We start from the raw sequence: 20,417 nt of genomic DNA, 5'->3' as shown, positions 1-20,417 counted from the left end.
GTATATAATTTTATTTTATAATTTTTTCTTCATTGTTATACTAGTTTCTAGTTTTTTAATTAGCTTATTTTAAATTATTAATAAATGGTAATCTTAATATAGTTAAATATTAATATTTCTTACTTGAGGCATTGTTATTCAAATGTATTATTCTTACTGAGTCAATATATTTGTCATGTAAAGAAATAGAAAGGATGTTTTGTTTCCTAATTAGAAAAGTAATATTAATTAGATATACCATTATTTTCAAAGTTTATTTTTTGGTTAGCAATATTTGAAAAATGATTTGAAAGAATTTTTTATAAGGATCAAGAAAGAAATATAGGAGATGAATAAGGGGCTACATTTTATGATAATACAAAATTTTCCAATTAAACTGAATACTTTGTCCTCAATATATAGTATCATAGTATTAGAAAAAATACCAAATGATAACAGATAAAACATTTTTTCCTATTAAAATAAAAGTTTCTAGAACTTCTGACTATTTCCTCTTGCCTTTCTACTGTCTGTTCCATAAGCCTTTACATAGTCTAACATCAGAAATGATCTTGAAGGAAGCGGGGCATTTTAAAATGTAACTCTCAAGTATTTTTGAGATTTACTTAAAGGTGAACTTGACAAGCTATTTGTTTTTTCGTGTCGATGGAATATTCAGAAGAAAAGTGGAAAATATCAGAGATGGAATGTCTAGGGTGAATAAGTGTCATTCATAAGAATGAATATGCTTGCATTTATGGTGGTGATAGTATGCATATTTTTCACTAAGCCGTTAACACGCCCCTTAGTCTGAATTGTCAGTAGGCCACTGCTGCCTCAGAGTGGTTTGGAAAAGCGCTTGAAATTTTATTTTTAGTGTAAAGAGGAAATTGATTTATTTTAAAACTGAAACAAAATAGGCACACATTTTGTCTGATTCTACTGAGTTGGACATGCCAAGATAAAAACAGTATACTGAACGCCTGGTCATTGCCTTCTAGGTATGTTTACCACAGTTCGAAATGGATGGTGGCAGGTAATGCTGACTCGCCTGTGCCACCCCGTGTGTACATTCATCCAGACTCGCCTGCCTCGGGGGAGACTTGGATGAGACAAGTTATCAGCTTCGACAAGCTGAAGCTCACCAACAATGAACTGGATGACCAAGGCCATGTGAGTAGATGGCCTCTCTAATGCATCTGTAGATGGCACAGCCACATCTACACTGTGCCTGACTAAAGGAAATGAATGCTTCTAAGATCATAATGTTCATTGCCTGATTGATTAGTATGTACACTGTCTTTGCAGAATCAAGTTTATATTTGCATAGACTGTGCCTGTTGCCAGAATTATCCGATGAGGCATTTAATAGGTTAAAACTAGATACTGCATTTTTATTGGACTGAAAGTACTGGAAGCAGAGATGTTGTTAGGCAAAACATTTGTGTGAAATCTCTTGAGGTGCTAATTATTATACTGTGAATATGAATACTTTGGAGTTGGGTTAATAAGGATAATGATTTATTGTGTCCTGCCTGCATCCAGCTTTGTCAGCTGAGGTTCATTGCTTCTCAGTAATTGTCTAGGCTTATGCTGTTTGTGTGTTCCATCTGCAAGTTCCCAGTTGTTTTGTAATGACATCTAATGTGTCAAAATGTTACAACAATCATTCCTTTTATTCTTAAAACTGCTGAAACATGATACATAAGTCAAAGTTCAGCCGTTCCAATAATGCAGTCATTTTTAACACCTTAGTAATTTTTATGCAGTATTGTTCCCAGGCAAGATTTCTACACTATTATTTTAATAAATAAGTAACTGGATACATGCTGATTTCTGTTCAAAGCCAGCATTTTTAAAATTAGGTTTCTGTTATTTAAGATAGTTTTGATTGAGGCAGGATTAAAATGCCTTTCGAAGAATATATCATACATAAAAGAAATACCAACTTGTTTATTTCTCAAAGGAGTGATATAAAGATAGCATATTTATGAGAATATCTTTTAAAACAAAATGTAAGTTGTCATAAACTAATAATATAGTGATGACAGGATATGGTTTGGAAGTTGCTAAACAATGTCTTAAGAAATTGACCTTAATGAGAACATTCCAGTACTAATTTCACTGTGATACAAATGCAGTAGGTGGATTTTTAAGATGCAACTAGTAAGATCTCACACCGCCAGTGTTTTTGTTTCTTGATTGTTGCCTTTTATGACTTAAAATGGAAATAAAAAAGTAACATAGTAGATTTCTTTTCTGTACCCAACTTCATGTCCTGTATTTTAGTGCATTACTCCTTGGCTTTCCTTATTTTTATTCCTTATTTTTACAATTTAACACAGTCAAGTTGTAACAATTATTTTTCACAGGAATTCAGTGAAATAACACCGATTTCTTCTGTGTCGCTGAGGCAGCTGTCTGTGAAATATACTCAGCACATTCATTGAAGGACTTTTTTTTGGAATAGAACATTTTAGACAATGTTTTTAGTGTTACTTGTTATCAAAACCTTAAGTACACTACCATTTTTTGTGAGTTCTACAGTTTAAAGAATGTATGCTCTAAAGAGATAAGTGGGGATAAAAACTATATACCTTCATGTATAAGTTATAAACTTCTTAATAATTTAAATCAATATAATCATTTTACAGTTCTAGTTCTTTCCGTTCAAATTACTGGTTTTCTATCTAATATCTAATGTACTAAATATTAGATATAGATCTAGTAATTTATCAATCTATATATTAACTTTATGATTTCAATAGACTTTATTTAAAGCAGCATTCTTCAGAAAATAGGGTGTGTGCGTGTTTGTGTGTGTGCGTGTGTAGAGAGGGAGAGAGAAAGAAAGAGAGAAAAACAGACACAGAGAGAACAATTTATTTTAAGGAGCTTACCCAGGAAAATTTGGGTCCTGACAAGTCCGAAATCTGCACAGCCACCTGGAGACCTAGGGAAGAAGTGATGTTGCAGCTTGAGTGTGAAGGTAGTTTTGTAATAGAATTCCCCCTTCTCCAGGGATCTCAGTCTGTTTTCTCCTACAGTCTTCAACTGATTGGATGAAGCCTACCCACATTATGAAGGGTAGTCCACTTTTCTCAAAGTCTGCTGATATAAATGTTGATCTCATCTAATAAATACCTGGCAGCAACATCCAGACTGGTGTTTGACCAAGTATCTGGGTACTGTGGCATAGCCAATTTGACACATAAGATTAACTGTCACATAGCATTTGTTTAAAACACAAAATAATAGATTACAAATGAAATTCAGTTACTTAAACCTAAATAATTATAATATTTTACTATTAGGGAAATAAATAACATAGCAGAAAATAGGCAAAATATAGAGATGTATATTGTCTAACTGCTGAAATTTTTCTTTTAAGGTTGTAGCAGGATGTACTAGTTGAATAAATACAGGTACATTAACATGTGGGGAGCAGGGAGAGAGATGTACTTGTACAATTTGGAAGCAAGTGAATTGCCTTTGGTAATGGTAAAAATGTACGTACGTATTACTTGATACTAGAGGAGGATGTAGGAGGGAAAGTGCTCTTTTCCATTATTCATTTAGAAAAGATACTTCGGAAGATGTTATCCAGTATGGTAAAAGATGCAAAGCTGGGCACGGTGGCTTGGCCTGGGCATGGTGGCTCATGCCTGTAATCCCAGCACTTTGGGAGGCCGAGGCAGGTGGATCACCTGAGGTCAGGAGTTTGAGACCAGCCTGGCCAACATGATGAAACCCCATCTCAACTGAAAATACAAAAATTAGCCAGGCGTGGTGGTGTTTGCCTGTACTTCCAGCTACTTGGGAGGCTAAGGCAGGAGAATCACTTGAACCCAGGAGGCAGAGGTTGTAGTGAGCTGAGATCATGCCACTGCACTCCAACCCAGGTGACAGAGTGAGACTCTGCTTCAAAAAATAAAAAATAAGATAAAAGCCATGATCTCTGCTTTCTGTGAGTTTCTAGCCTATGTGGGGAGAGAAGAAACCATGAACACAGATTATCATCCTGCCAGCTCAGAGAAGTACAGATGCCAGTGTCACCGTATTCCAGCCAGGAAAGATGGGAAAGGCTTTATGAAGAAAGAATCTGTTTATTTACTCAGCTTGATGACCCTAAATGAGGCTAGATTAAATATTAGGAATTTGTTTCTGATTTTATTGTTGATTGTGTTCAGGGTATAAGAAGACAGTAGTATTGTTATAGTAGGACTTTCTAATTCAAGTCCCTTTGCTGATGCAGAGACCTCTTGGGAACTTACCCCTCTACCCTTACATAGTTGAGGTTCATCCCATCTGCCCCTGCCCACCCTCAGCCCTCAATTCCAAAAGAAGTAACACTGATCTCTAATTAGTAAAGCTATTGACTCAAATGAGAGGTGATTTTCTAGCTTGCTTTCTAAATTGCTTTTTTTTTTTCTCTTCTCAGTTCCTAGTTTTACTCTGCCAAGTCTGTGCAAGTGTGCAGCATAGTGACTTGAGAACTCCTTAGAGACCTGGGACTTTATTAATTTAACACAAAATGATTGCAGGAATCAAATCTTTGCAGTGCTTTGACTGGACGTAGGAGCACATGAGACATGAGATGATGTGACATTGAGGTTTTGCCAAAAGTGACTTTTCAGTTGTTCAAATATCATGAATTATTTGGAGAGGAATAGTGGTGAAATTCCAGAGTGGAAATGTTCCAGCACTCCACAGCTAATTTTTGGATGTTTTGAAGACCTTAATCTCTTCCTGATCCTTGGTGAATCCATAGCGAGCTTTATGCTGGCTTTTATACAAATGAAGACTGGTCCTTGAGCTACCCATATGCAGAAGAGTTAGTATGCTTGAGTAGGGTAATTCCTTCCCATCATGTACATGTTTCCCAATTCCTCTGGAATTTTCCATCTGAGGGAAAACATGTAGTTGACCATTTTTATTAAAAATTAGAGGACATTTAGCAGGTAGTGGTGTACCTTAAGCCTCAGAAGGATTTGTACCCACGGTGCTGTGGCGCTTTGGAAGGAAGCATGGCCAGACAGCCACAGTGGGACCTGTGGGAAGACCTGTACTCCCAGCTGCTGAGGACTCAGTGATACTGATGCCTTCACTCTTTCTGTTTCTCCTTGAGAATCAGGTGTGGAAGCAGCAAGTTATAGGGGAGGTTGCTGAGGTCTCCCTGGTGGAAGGACCTTGCAATTACTTAGAGGTATGACACATTTGTGTTTGTTGGCAAGTCACTTTCATTCTCTGAGGGTTGATTTTTCTCATGGGTTATATTGGAATCAGAGAACTTAGGGTGAACTAAATGAGCTGATGAACTCGAAAGGACGTATTTGTAAAGAGTCCATTATATACAGCATCATGCGTAAAACAAAAAGAAGGCTACCTTGCTATGGAGTTTGTGATTCATTGTTACAGCCTTGATTCCTACCATTTAAAGGGAGTCAGTACGTGGTGTTACCAAAAAATGTAGGGAGCAAGGTTTTTGTTATCTGTTTCTTGTTGGTCCTTTGATTGACTTATTACATCATGGGAATTTAGGTCATCTGGAAAATTTCCAGTCAGCAGGGAGTGTTTTCTTATTGAGCTATCCTGTAAGACTAGACACAGTTGCCTTTCTGTCAGATCTCAGGCTCTTTCGACTCATCAGATGAGAAATAAACAATATTATGCTTTTTTTTTTTGACTCAAATCTAGGTGTCCTTAAAGTAGAAAAATGTGTATTAGCCTGTACTGCAAATGCAGTCTGTATTTATGGACTTCTGTGACTGTAATACTAGCTAAACCCAAAAGAAAATAATCATTCTAAACAGATCAGAGAGCACTGAACATTACACATCACATAGAATTATTTGGAATTATTTGTGTTTTGGAGATGGGCATCATATCATTGTGGTCTTCTTGTTTATACGACCAGTGGTTCTCCTGGTTCTATTTGCTCTATTAAATAAGCAAACTTTTATTGAGCATTCATGATTGTAAGTTTGGTAGTTAATAATCAAATGGTTCATCCCCTGTGCCCCTGCCCACCTCAGAGCCCCCAATTCCAAAAGAAGTTAACACTGATCTCTAATTAGTAAAGCTGTAGACTCAAATGAGAGATGATTTTCTAGCTTGCTGTCTAAATTGCTTTTGTTTCTCTCCTCAATTCCTACTTTTACTCTGCCAAATCTGTGCAAGTGTGCAGCATGGTGACTTGAGAACTCCATATAGATCTGAGACTTTTATTCATTTCACACAAAATGATTGCAGGAATGAAATCCTTGCAGTGCTTTGACTGGACCCATGACCACATGAGACATTAAAAAGCACATAATGCTATCATAAAAAGAGGAACTGAGGCTTGTTTCTCCATCCCTAAAACATTCCAGGGATACATAAAGTTCTTATAGATAATACTGAATACATATTATTTTTCTTGAGCAATCTTCAGATTACTATTGATAGTTGCTTCTTAACATGCAAACAAAGACATACATCAGCCATTTCTGTATCCTACTCCAATATACCCCACTTGAAGTCTTTTTTGAAATATGGTAAGGATATTTTGAAAAGTAACCTTAAAATATATACAACTATATGGAGAAATCTCCTTGAGAGAACAGTCTTCATAAAACAAGAACCTGCTTTTCATTGACTAGTAAAAAGAAACCCAAATGAATCTTTGTTTCTTTAATTACAACTCAGTCCAATCTTCTGAAATTAGCTATGCATTTATTTTTGTTTGTTTAATGTAAAGTAACTTTTCTCCAATTTTTCTTCTGCTTAGAAATTTGTTTCTAAAAGATATGCTAATTCTCCCTGGGAGTTTATAAGTGTCATTGTTTTGTCCCTTGTTGTTTGCTTACCAGTGGCATTTTGTTTCTTACCTTGGAGAAGAGGAAGGGTTCTCCCTTAAACTCCCCTGCTCCCCAAAATATCAAGTGAATATCACTTTCTAATGAGATAAATTAATTAAGAAATAAAGAGGGAGGGGGAAAAACAGAGTTAACATTAATGGTTGCTATGATATGATTGGTCATTTGCTGCTTTATATTTATATTAAAAGAGTGTGTTAAAGAGTATGTTAACTAATGAGACACCAGGTGGGGCTCAATTAACTGCTTCTGTAGGCTGAGACCCTTTTTTGTGTTTCCTTTGTTGGACCTGGCCCTGTGATGATGCCTGCCCAAAAAATACGAATTTATAATGAATGCACATGAACGTGGTGGTGGGAGGACGAGCATGGGCCAAGGGACCCAGCTTCCAGGTTCAGCCTTAAGGATTCAGAAGTCTCTTGCTTGTGTAGACCTTAGTTTTCTATCTATAAATTGGAGTATTAATGTCAGTTTTTTCAGACTTAAATATATGTAATGTAATGTCACACAGAACCCTGCATATCAAACAGGGAAGGGAAGCACCTCTAATTGGAGGGCGGTAAATAGACCTCAGAATCCATCTTGCCTACTCCTTTTTCCTAATATAGTTCTGAAAAAGAATATCTACTGGGTCCACATGTCTGCAAGATATCTTTCAACCCTGCTGAGATATTGTGCTTCCAAGAACATAAACTTAGATTTAGATTATGCCTTTTTTTTTTTTTTTTTTGAGATAGAATCTCGCTCTGTCACCAGGCTGGAGTGCAGTGGCACGATCTCGGCTCACTGCAACCTCCGCCTCCCGGATTCAAGCTATCCTCCTGCCTCAGCTTCCCAAGTAGCTGGGACTACAGGCATGTGCCACCACGCCCAGCTAATTTTTTGTATTTTTAGTAGAGACAGAGTTTCACCATGTTGGCCAGGATGGTCTAGATCTCTTGACCTTGTGATCCACCCACCTCGGCCTCCCAAAGTGCTGGGATTACAGGCGTGAGCCACCATGCTCGGCTGATTATACCTTTTTAAATGAGGATTAGTGAACATATTACTCAGGTAATATACAAAAGAAATGAGAAAAATATCTATATTCACCAAAAATCTGTTTAGAGTGTGCTGATCATTAGAACCATTAGAATTAAATGTTGCTTCTGTGTTTTTCAAACTTTCTACCTAACAGCAAGTTATATATTTTATTTTCTACTTTATTTTGTACTTTTATTTATTTAAAAAATTTCTGGTTGCAACCCTTCATGTTGATTTCATAAGTCACTAATGGGTCATTAAAATTCTTCCCTTTACATAGAACAAAGAGAAATTTCCAGAATTTCTAGAATTCTGGAAAGAGAATTTTCCTGAGATTGCAGATTTGCTTGTGTCCTCAGGTGATGATGAGGGCTGTTTTCCCCTGTTGTCCTTTCCTCACACTCATGCTTCCTCTCCTAGAGTGTCTGGTTGGCATGATCATGTGCTACCTAGGCATTTCTTTCACTGATACAAGGAAAACTGCAGGGTTAAAAAAAAAAAAAGAAAAAAAAAATCTTAGCCACAGCACTGCCAGAAAGTAAAGAATCTTCTTGTGGCAGCAAACACACTTTCCAGATGTAGGACAATCTGTGTTTGGGCTGACCAAATATTCTGAATGTGTCTTATTAAACTGCCCACATCATAAACACAAGGCAGGCCAACCACTACATTTCCCTAAGACTTTTCTGTAAACATTTGTTCTATAAATTCATAATGGCTCAGAAATTGAATTCAAATCTTATAGCTCAGGAAAGATACAGGTTTCTTAAGGAAACTCCTTAATGAGTACCTGAATATGGAATCCCAGCAGCAAACAGAAAATCCCATTGGATGAAGCTGTTTCTTCACCCTACCCCATCAGCCTTGAAAGCATAGAACATACAAAGAAGAAGACAAAATTCACTCACAATTCCATCATCTAGAGGCAATCACTGTTTATATCTTTCTATGGGTCATTTTTACTCTATTTTTATGTAGTTTTAACAAGCTTATAAACAATTTAGGTCATTTTTTAAATTTAAGATTTTAAAAGTATTATTTCATTATATGGTAAAAAATAATGCTGTATTTCATTGTGTGGATTTCATTCACCTAACTAATTTACTCATGTTGGATATGTAAGTGGTTTATAGTTTTTCTACTGTTACAAATAATCTGATGCCCGTCTTTGTACATGAAAAGCTTTTCTGAATTTGTAATATTTCCTTAGGATAAATTCTCAGATGTGGAATCATTGGGTAGAAGGTAGTTGAACCATATTATCAGATTTCCCCAGCAGCATCTGAGAGGGCCAGCTTTTCTGTTCTCTGCAGTCTGAGTAATGGAAGCCTCATTGTGATAGAGGCACAGACACTGGGCGCTCCCAGCAAACCAGAGACTTTGTGAGCCACACAAAAAACAGATGCTGGAGTGTCCTTAAAATTCCCTTTGCCCTTGAATAGACATATGTAGTCACGAACTGGGGAAACATTTCCTCTGAAAAAAACCTTGTCTGTGAATACTTATTTTTTAGGGGATGGGTGTGGTGCAATTTAAATGATGATTTCAGTCTCATTTGTAATTTTATTGGTTTGGACTCTGTGTTCCATTGGGCTCATTATAAATAAAATGCTTATTAATTTATTCCTGTGTTTTTAGCAACAGAAAATTTGATATTAAGTTCACATGGTTGTACACAGGGTTTCACTAAAATAGTGCTTTTTATTTTGTATTTTTATGTACATTTTACAAACAACTTCTTAGCCTTCCTTCTCCAGTTCTGATATTTCTTATTAAATTGACACCTCTGCATCCTTGGAAATGATTTCCAATCAGAATTGATTGTACACATTAAATATTTAGTCAGGTTGTTGAGGTTGGGCAGAGGCTTCTGATAAATTCAGCTTTTCCTTCTTTGATATAGATTATTCTTCATTCTATGCACAAATACCAACCGCGAGTGCACGTCATCCGTAAAGACTGTGGAGACGATCTTTCTCCCATCAAGCCTGTTCCATCCGGGGAGGGAGTAAAGGCATTCTCCTTTCCAGAAACTGTCTTCACAACCGTCACTGCCTATCAGAATCAGCAGGTATTGTTCTCAGAATTGGAATCTTTGTAGATTTTTCATTTCAGGTGAAGAGAGAAAGTTAGCTATCCTTCTCACTCTAAATATTATGAATTATAAAGCATTTGCCATATATGACATTCAAAGTGTATATATATGAATAACAGTTCTTTATCCATGATTTTCCAAGTAAGTCTGCTCTAATGTTGATTTCTTTAGACAAACCATGTCTTGTGACTGACAGTGTAGGTTTACTTTCCATTTTGAGCTTTTGAATTATATCTTAATTAAAATTAGAATGTATTTTTATTGCCTAAAAAATAGACATGTAGAATATTAAAAATGAATTGTATCATAGAGCATGGGACTTGATAGCTTACTTTATTTTTAAACTACATTCTAAAAATAGTTCAGAAACATTTATCCTGTATAGTCATTTTGGTACATATACAAAAGGGCTATTTCTTTCAAGATATGCTTTAATTGTGATAGAGGATGATAAACTTGCTTATAGTCTGAGAGATCAGCAATGGTAGAATACTTATTTCATAAAGTTAGAAATAGTGTGAGAAGTGAAATATTTCCTTTCTATATGGGTAAATGTATATATTTCTCTAAGGCTATGTTTATATGTGTCAGTTAGGTAGAGAATTGAATCAGAGGCAATATGTAATCCATGCTGGAATTCCAGCTGGTTTTCATAAGAAATATCCATGTAATATAAGCCGATGTGGCCTGTGGTAGATTTTTTTTTTTTTCAATTTCAGTGGTCAGCAGAATTGTTCTGGGTCTCCATTTCTCTTTACATTTATATACATTTCAATTACAAATTTAAGGCTTTTAAATCTCTCTGTTGTGGTTTCTGTTGTTATAAAGCTTCTTAGAAGATTTGGATCCTATCCCATGTGTTCTTTGGGCTGAGAGGCTCAATAGCTCTTATCCGTATGGAGACATCAGTATCACAACCGAAGCTGTCCTGTCCTCTCACACTCATGTTGCCACTCTTTTATAAGCTTTTAGGAAGGAACATGAAATGTAATTTTTAAAAGATCCATAGATAATATATTTATTATCTATGCTAATAGATATAATATAGGACCATGCTAATAATATAATTTATTTATTATCTATGCTAATAGATATAATATAGGACCATGCTAATAATAATAGGACCATGCTAATCTTCTCTGTATTGTTTCAATTTTAGTATATGTGCTGCTGAAGCAAACATATTTAATATAGCATATTTAACGTATTATATATAACATATGTAATATGTGTAATATAGTACATAATTATAATGTATTTATAATTTTAATATATTTAATATAATAAATATATAAGATATATACATTATATAAAATATATTTATAATGTATATAATTATAAATAAATGTATTTATGATTTTAATATATCAAATATATTAAAATTATAAATATCAATATAAATATATAAATAGTATAATATACTGTACAATAATATATAATATACGAAATATTATATAATATATAATTATAATATACTTAATATAATTATATTTAGTATATTATGAGATATAATTATATATTTAATGTATTAAAATATATTAGGGACAGAAAACGATTTTTTGGGAGAAAAAGTAATACATGAGAAAATAGCAGAGGCATTTAGTATTCTTTTAACAATCTCAATTCGTCACCTCTTTCTGTCTCTCTTCCTCTCTTTTTGTCTCTCTCTCACACACAAATTAACTGTGCACTTTGCATATTTTCTTCCACCCTCTGTGGTACAGTAAGTGCAATGCAGTCAGCTTTTGGTACATGTTGTGACTAACACAAATTAGTGAACATTGAGAAGTTGATTAAGATGATGGACAGATTAGAGGAGAAATTGATAATGATAACATGCAGTCACATTTACTTTTTAGTTTCCTGGCTACTATTTTTAAGAACTTAACGGAACATTGTTAGCAGATTAGTGGTTAATAGCATGAGCTCTGCAGCCTGTGGTCCTGGCTTACTTAAGCTTCAGTTTAAAATAAAACACAAAACTGAGATAATAGCTATACATAAGTTGCTCTAGTAATTAAATGAGTAGTATGCCGAAAACTTAGCACAGTGTACATTTTATGCACTCAATACATATGTTAGTAATAAAAATGATGATAGTAGCAATTGTGTTATGTCTCTGTTTTAACAAGGCACCATTATATAAATCTGTACTTTTTAAAAAACAACATTTTAAATGAACATTTACATTGCTTAATGTTTTTAAACATTATTAAAATAGACAGAAAATTGAGCTATATTGATCTGTAAAGAAGAATTCCTTCAATGACAGAGTGGCAGACATGATGACTTAATTAGCAAACCCTTTCATTATATCATTTATAATATAGTTTTATCCACATACTAAGATAACATCATATGGAACACATATGTCTTAAGTGTTGCGTGGCTGACTGGAGGGCGTGCACAAGCAATGTAGGGGGACTGCAGATGACTTTTATTTAACAGTTTTTGTCCTTAGCCAAGATGGTGTAATTAGAAGTATGTTCATTAACTTTGTAGAGTTCATTAAGCCCAGGAATTTAGAAGCCAAAACATGATGTGTCTCTTAGAAAATAGGCTGTAAATTCCTCTGGGCAAAGTGGAGATCTGGTAATAAGCAGATGGGATGGTATTTATTAGTGTCAAGTTCAGGATGGCATAACTAAAAAAACTATTAATGGAGATAATTAAACCATTTGTAAAAAATTTCCCCCTTAATCTTGGTGTCTTAGTGAGCAAAAAGTTGGTTATGAGTCAACAAATTAGAATTCTTGTTAAAACTAAAACATCATATATAGGAACCATTTTACTACCTATACATATTTCATAGTATGTTGTGTACCTCCATATAACACAATACAATTTATTTTGAAAGAAAGTTAAAGTGAAAGCATCATTTATTTTTACTCCATTTAGTATGAGATTTGATTCATTAGAACCTTCAAGTAGTGGTTACCTCTGGTTAGACATTCACTGTAGTGCTCTGACCAGGTTAGGACTCCACAGATAAAAGAATAAAACTTTCAGATAAAAGCCACAAAGAATATTAAAGGAGAGACAAAGAAAAATACAGAGACAGAAAATTAAAGGAATGTGTACATTATTACCTAATTTTAAAGAAGAGAAAGCTCTGTAGGAGCTTAACAACATTTAAATGGCTGTTAAATAGAAGTTGGATACGAGTTATTCCTCATTAGCTTTATTGAGATAGAAACAGGATTAAACCACATCTCAGAGTTAAAGGGAAGAACTTCAGTTCAGAGGGAATTGTCAATTATAGGGCACGTTACCAACAGATGATTCAGAATCTTTTTTTCCAGAAATATTAAAAAACAAAACTAACTTATATCTATTAATGCAGATTGAAAAGGAGTGAAGTATCTTTTTTAGAGCAGATGAATGTTCTAGATGATTTCTGAAATTTTCCTTAGCTTTACTGCTAGGATATTAAAATACTTGGGGAATAAAAGAGGCTTATACAATAGAGTCCTCTAACAGTTAACTTTTGACTCATTGTAGTTTTGCAACCAAGTAAAAACTTGCTTGACATTTATATAAGATTTGATATTTTTTTTTCCTACTCTGCAGATTACTCGCCTGAAGATAGATAGGAATCCATTTGCTAAAGGCTTCCGAGACTCCGGGCGCAACAGGTGGGCCTTAGTGAAGACCATTCCGGTTATGATAAATATATTTGATATTTTATTATGAATTTTCTATTACAAAGTAAATGGCTAAATTTACTAATACGATATTGAAATCATTTCTGATGAGGACTGTTGTGCCTCGGAGATAACTTATTTTTGTAGTGTAATGGTGTCACCTACCCTAAGGTGAATGTTCATGTGCGCTGCTGAGCTGAAAATCGAAGCTCTCAGGATGTACACTGCATGCTGTTTCTGAAGGGGCCTTGAAGAAACCTGCCCTTACAGGCACAGAGGCTTCAGTATCCTAATTAAATATCCTCTCTGCCTCTACTATTGGTTTAGAATTTCTTTAGTGATGATGCGACTATCTATTGATATTGTCTGTGGAGTACGATAGGGTCTTTCGTTAAGTCATATTTCCAGCTGGAATATGAAACTACTCTCCATTGCCAAGAGAGCTGATGTTCTTTAGTTTCCAAATTTGTCTTGGCTCTGCTGACAGCCACATACTTGTTTATTTTTTCTGTTTCACGTTTTGTGGTGTTTGTACTAAGTGGTAGAGCCACAATAATGAATTCCACTCTTACTTTTATCAAAAAGCAGATCACCTAGTCTATGTGGCAAAGGGTTTTTGAATTTATTGATATGACTCTACTCCAATATAGTTCAGTACAACATTTTCTAAAGTAACTGTTAGTAAGTAGTAATAGAGAGTAATAATAGACTACAGTTCTGCAAATGCCTTTTCAGAGTAAGGCTTCTGCTTAAATGTTTTTAAAAGCAGCTTGTTTTTAAAAAGAAGTATTTGAACAATCTTTATGACTTTACTCATGAAATTATTCTAATACTCCTTGAAAATCCCCAATTATTTTAGAGGCAGTTTCATTTGAAATTTTAGAGGGAAAACAATCCAGATTCTTAGTTCTTTCAGTTGATTAATTGAACAAGATGGGTGACAGAGACCTTTTCTCAGAATACACTCAAGTTCTTGCAGAGATGTGATGTCATTGTTATATGCAGTGGCATCATTGAAACACCACGCAACATGAGGACTGAAATGCAGCTAAAATGCACTGAGAGTAGAGTAGCCTTCAACTTAGTGCAGGTAGATCAGGAAGACTAATAGCAGGGCTTCCCTCTGAAATTTTTCACTCTGTAGGAAAGTTTGCAGATATTCCTAACACATGAAAGTTGTCTGCTGTATTGAAATTATTTTGTTTTTTAAATGTGTGTTTCAATGTAGAGAAAAAAATTGCTTGTCTTTTGTTTTGTTACATTAGCTCCTGGTTAACCTTGTTTTTCAGAGGTGTTTCTGAAAATTAAAATGCAAATTGAACCATCATTTAATAACTGGAGATGGCCACTTAGTGAGGTGACTGAAGAGAACCTTTGGGATGACTCCTATTCTACCTTGGCGAATGCTTTGATGGAATTATTTTGTGATTTTTGTTATAGCAGAATAGTATTTGTCCATTTAAGAGTCTTGTATTACTTTCAGTTTTTTTTTCTTAACCAGAAAAGGAATTTATTAAAACACTGAAATTCCGGGAGAGAAATACTCAGGCTTGAAGAATATACAACTAGCAACTATATCCAAGCTATCAATTACTCTAGCAAAGTCTTCACTGCTACTGACTCAGGGGTCACATGCTTGTATATAGTCCATTTTTGAAGGGATAAATTTAAAATATTTGAAAAATACTTTGTATTTTGAACAGATAATAGTGAAGAAACCTCTACAAGAAGTGAGATGACAGATACATATGACAAGTTTTCAGGAAGAATTCTAGATACTCAGCATAATGAAAATACATTTGGATACTTAAATTTGGTCAGTGAAAATGACAGTGGTGTTGTTGAATATAAAATACTAGGACTATATTGTTTGATATGGCGAGTTCAAAATGCTAGCTTTGATATGGATTTTTCTATCCCTTTGGCTATTTCAGGAGTATGTAAGCCTGACATCCATGGTGCTTGTTACTATTTCTTCCCTGACTCTAAAACTTTAAAAATTTTGGAGGAACATACAGAAGACAGTGAATTATGTTTTAATGCTTTTAAGATTTTGTTAAAATTTAAAATTTTTATTTTGTTCCAAGTGTTTAAACAATATTATAGTACATGAAAAGCACATTGAGCCTATATATGGCTTTCTTGCTAGTGAAATACAGTTTCAACTTTTTTCCTTGCTGAAACTCTCTTGCTTATTATAGACAAGCTATTTACTAATACTTCTCACTTTGGAATGCTAAATATCTATAAATCATTATTCCTCTATTTAAAAATCTGATTGTAACATTTTCCGTTGACAAATGCAAAAGACACATTTGGAGAAGAGATAATTCAGTCACCTGAATTACATAAGTGAGCATTTCTAACTTGTGTATTAGTTTCCTTTAAAAAAGACCAAGTTATATGTAAGACTTGGTGGAGGGCACGGTTGTTTGGAGAGCATGGGCATGAAGGGGCATGATTTTTTAATTATATTAGTAGAGAAGTGAAGCTATGAGAAAAAGTTTAACATATTTCTTTATTACCCCTGGTTCTATTGTGCTGTTGTTAGTGGTTTTTAAAACAAATTCTATTTTTATTTCCCCGACCCTGTACATGAAATATACAAATTGACCAGGACAAGAAATAAACATAGACTTGTGATTGTTTAAACTTTATGAAACAATTTGCCTTAATTAAAAATTATCCTTTTCTGGCTATTTATGGCTGCACAGCCTATTTTACAGGAATCAGTAGCTTCGGCCCTTAAAAGCTCTCCTGCAAGACATTTGCTATGTGAGAGAGAATTTATGTGCTGAGAATAGTTTCATTCTTCAGTTAGGCCTTAGGTTTGACCCTATAAAATTTTTTACTCAGGAAGGTACAAAAATTTCTTCTCTTTAAATACTTCAGGAAAAACATAACCATTTTACTAAATAAACTTGGCCATTTGATAGCATAAATTAGGGCAGTGATAAAATGTGGAAATTGTTCAAAGGCATCTTGTATAAATTATCGCCTTGGCTGCACTCCTGCAGGAGGTGCCTTTTATCTTTTCTTTAACTAGCCAGGAAAGGTCTCCATTACTGGAGAAAATGAAGGCTTTTTAAAAAATGTCCAGATTCAGCTAATAAACATTTTATAACTGTTTCCTGCAAAATATCTAAAATCCTTTCTGGAACTTGTAGTGTGAAACAGCAGCCTCAGGAAAAATATCGATTGCTCCAAATCAGATCACTTGTAGATATGTCAGCTTCAGAGCATCTCTTTAAAGCTTAGGGTTATATATTTGTGATGATCAATAACTTCTCCCTAAGAATTTAGTTTATGGATTTGTGTTTGAATCATAATAAAGTTTACACTGCTAAAGCAAATAATGCAGTAAGATACATCTCTGTAGTCAGTTTCTAAGTCCAGTGGTTGCTTGTTAATTATCTTAGTAAACTTCCCTCAAGACTGCTCTATAATCACTTTAGTATTTTTAATATTTAAAACTACAATTAAACTCATCTATGTGGTAATAAGAAGCTGTTTTATATTAAGCTGTGTCTTAACATTCTTTTGCATTTAAAATCGTTGTATTTCTGGAAAGTCACAAAATTTAGTATTGGTATAAATTGAATAGAGGGTGATCAGCTAAACAGGACCCAGAGTTCATTAGTCCAGTGTTAAACATACCCACAGGCAACATGTGGTTTGGAACTGACCAGGTCTGCCAAACTGCCCAGAAATCAATACACTAGTACAGAAAATACTATCAAGTGGCATGAACTTGGATTTGGCTTGTAGTTTGGCCACAGATATGATGACTGGTTTGGAAAAAAAATCTCTTAGAATGAAACAATGTTAGGATTAATAAGGGTTTCAGACCTTTTGTAATCTCATCCTTTCTTTGTGAGAAACTGAAGTCCAGGGAGATTAGCAAATTTGCTTAAGGTCAGACAATGAGTTTTAGTGAGTTGCAGTGCCAGTGCAGTCTTTCTGACCCCAATCTAGTATCCTTACCACTAAATAATTCTCTCTCTGTGGCACATTGATTACATCTGAAGCCAGATTCTGTTCTCTCTCAGGGTAGGCCAGGTGGAGCAGGTGCAGGTCCCCTCTGTGCTCTGCTCTTTTCTTTGGCAATCCTGCACTATCCCCTCTGGGGCTGCAGACATCTCTTTGAAGTGCCCTCAGAGCTGCACCCCCAGAGCCTGTGACTTAAGAGATGAGTCAGGCTTATGTGCAGCCTCATGAGGTGTGTTTGTGCATGCAAGCCTGTGCATGTATACACACCACCCCTCCACACATGCATAGCTACATCATTCTGTCACTAAGATGGGGTAGGCGTATTCCTCCAGAATGAGTACAGAAATCAATTAACAGAGACTATACCCTGAACACTCTAAGGAAGTAAATTCTGTGTGTGAAGCCTTGGAACAGATGGACAAGTAGTGTAAGATAGTTTTATTGGCACAAATCACTTACCTCTGGTGTTTAGAGAGCTTTCACCATATTGTGTATGTGGTATGACTCTCTGGGGTGGATTCCTCTAGTCTTAGTTTGCAGGTTATGACTTGGGGCGCAGGGACTCCAGAGGTGGTAGCACCTTGAGTCAAACTATTAAAGGAGATGTCTATTATTGGATATCCCAGGAAGCAAGTATTTTCTACAGTGGAGCTACAGGTTTCATTAAAAGTGTAATGTTACCTAGATCAACAAATTACTTAGGGCTGAGGTGGTTGAAGGAAGAGTGATGAGGTCTCAGGTGTGGCTGTCTTGAGAATGATCTAGTTGAGTGAATGGCCTCATTCCCAGAACCCAGAGGACTTAGTCACTTGATATACAGAGGGGAAGTCTCTGAATCATTCATGGTAGGAGATGGTTGATATATGTATTTAGAGTAGTTGCCCTTGTTTTAAAATATACGTATGTCATGTAAGTAGTCCATATGAAACTTACCCTGTCTCTTTAAGTATCCATTCATTAAGTGTATTTCAGGGTTTTAAAATAATTTGTGATTTAATAGTAACTCTATATACTAGATAGCCCTGTGAGGTCACCTTCCTGCTCTCCTCCCACACACTGCAGGGAGAGGCCAGTGCTGTTTCTTCATGGCCCTCCTGTTGCTGGTGGGAGCCCAGCCTGGCTACACTGGGTGTAGTAGAGATTGTGCTCCTGAGAGAGAAGTCAGTCTTCTTTGGAGGAGTGCTTCCCTGAGCTGGCTGCTGAGGCACCAAATGATGGGCAGTAATGACCCTTAGAAAAGAGCTGGTTTTCTAGGAATGTGCTTTTGTGGCAATGCCTTCCTCACTTAGAGGGAGAAGTAACAGGACAAGGAGAGTGGGTGTGTTCCAGATCACAGCAGAGCCTTGGACTCACAGCAGCCAGGAGGGACTCTCTTCATCTCAGCTCCTTAGCCCAAGGGAACAGCTTTTCACCCTTCAGGTCAGCTGAGTTTTCCTGAGAACATTAACAGGCATCTTGGGTGGGTGATTTCAGTTCTCTCCTGCTGCTGGTAACAGGATGTTAGCCCATTGCTGAAGCATTTCTTCTTGCCAGTGGCAAGATCCTAACTGGACAGTGTGGGGGTACTGTCAATATCAGTGTTGTTTTGAGATGCTTGCTGCTGGTGAAAGATCCAAATGCTCCTAACTAGACTTCTTTTGTCCACCCCTATCCTGACCCTTTCCATTTAGAATGGGTTTGGAAGCCTTGGTGGAATCATATGCATTCTGGCGACCATCACTACGGACTCTGACCTTTGAAGATATCCCTGGAATTCCCAAGCAAGGTAACTCACAAAGTCTCCTGGGTCATATATACAGCCCGTTCCTGCCTAGAAACTCAGGCACTAAAAGTGTACAAGTCATTATTTATACTTACAATAATGACCTCATCACCAGCATTGTCCTACAGATTCCATCTGTCTTCTGCATGGTATGGGGATGGATCAGGAAAAAACGGCTCTCATGGTCACAGATTAAATCTTAGATGTCTTAGGCTGTTTGTATATTTCATGACCTTTACCTCATCCTTAAATCTCGTATTAAAATTAGAGGTGCTCTGATGCCAGGTCCTGTTCACAAGAAATTGTTGATGGTGCCCCCAGTCCACCCTTTCTTCAGATCTTGTTTGTTTTCTTTCTTCAGCAGAATTGCCTCTGGGTAGGGTTCTCCTGTTGGGTTAACGATGAGGAAGGTCAGGCACATTCAGGCAGACCCTCCTGGGCTCATCTCTGAATATTTCTCAGCAGCCCAGGGCTGATTTCTTCTCAGAGGGAACTGCATGGAAAGCGATGTTGCTTCCTCTCTGGTCTGCTCCATAGGTAACACTCTCAGCTCACTTCTACATTCAGGCTTTTTACCATCATCCTGCCCAGATTCCAGTGAGAATTTGCTATGCTGGGTTTCAGATAATTATTATTGGTTGGATTGGGCTTTTGGATTATTTTGAGACACTATATAAAACACCATCAATACAGCAATGAAGGTTTTACAACCTGTCCAGCCCTTTGGAATTCTCCTCTCCCCTTAAGTTCTGTCAAGTTTGCAAACATCAGTCTGCCAGCAGATCCAGAGGGGGCACCATCACTGCCATTGGTTGGACACAGGGTTAACTACCCTCTCTAAGTTTCACAGGACTGTTGATTTGTTGGACCTCTGCTCTTGTATTAGCATGTGATTCAACAACTTGTTTTCTAATTGGAAATGAGATTTTTCAACCAGATAATTCCTTGAAAGCTGAGACCATCTCCTTTTCATCTCTGTAGCATTCCTCCAACCCTTGCCTTGTAACAAGCTGTGTCTAGCTCATATTTACAAAATTGAAAGGAAAGGATGACTGTGGAGTCATTCT

General features: G+C 36.0%; 1 protein-coding gene and 1 pseudogene across 1 annotated transcript in view; one reads left to right on the top strand and one right to left on the bottom strand.

Moving 5' to 3' along the window:
- Window positions 1–20,417, top strand: part of TBX18 (T-box transcription factor 18) — a 32,103-nt gene that overhangs the window by 6,749 nt on the left and 4,937 nt on the right. Inside the window, exons 4-7 of the mRNA NM_001080508.3 lie at window positions 981–1,152; window positions 9,763–9,930; window positions 13,525–13,589; window positions 19,259–19,353. Coding sequence (NP_001073977.1) covers window positions 981–1,152; window positions 9,763–9,930; window positions 13,525–13,589; window positions 19,259–19,353 — 500 coding nt within the window. The remainder of the gene's footprint in view (window positions 1–980; window positions 1,153–9,762; window positions 9,931–13,524; window positions 13,590–19,258; window positions 19,354–20,417) is intronic.
- Window positions 11,076–11,133, bottom strand: LOC124901519 (uncharacterized; annotated as a pseudogene).

Source organism: Homo sapiens, chromosome 6 (genome assembly GCF_000001405.40).
Source record: "Homo sapiens chromosome 6, GRCh38.p14 Primary Assembly".
Taxonomy (NCBI): domain Eukaryota; kingdom Metazoa; phylum Chordata; class Mammalia; order Primates; family Hominidae; genus Homo; species Homo sapiens.
This window is presented reverse-complemented; position numbering and strand designations above follow the sequence as displayed.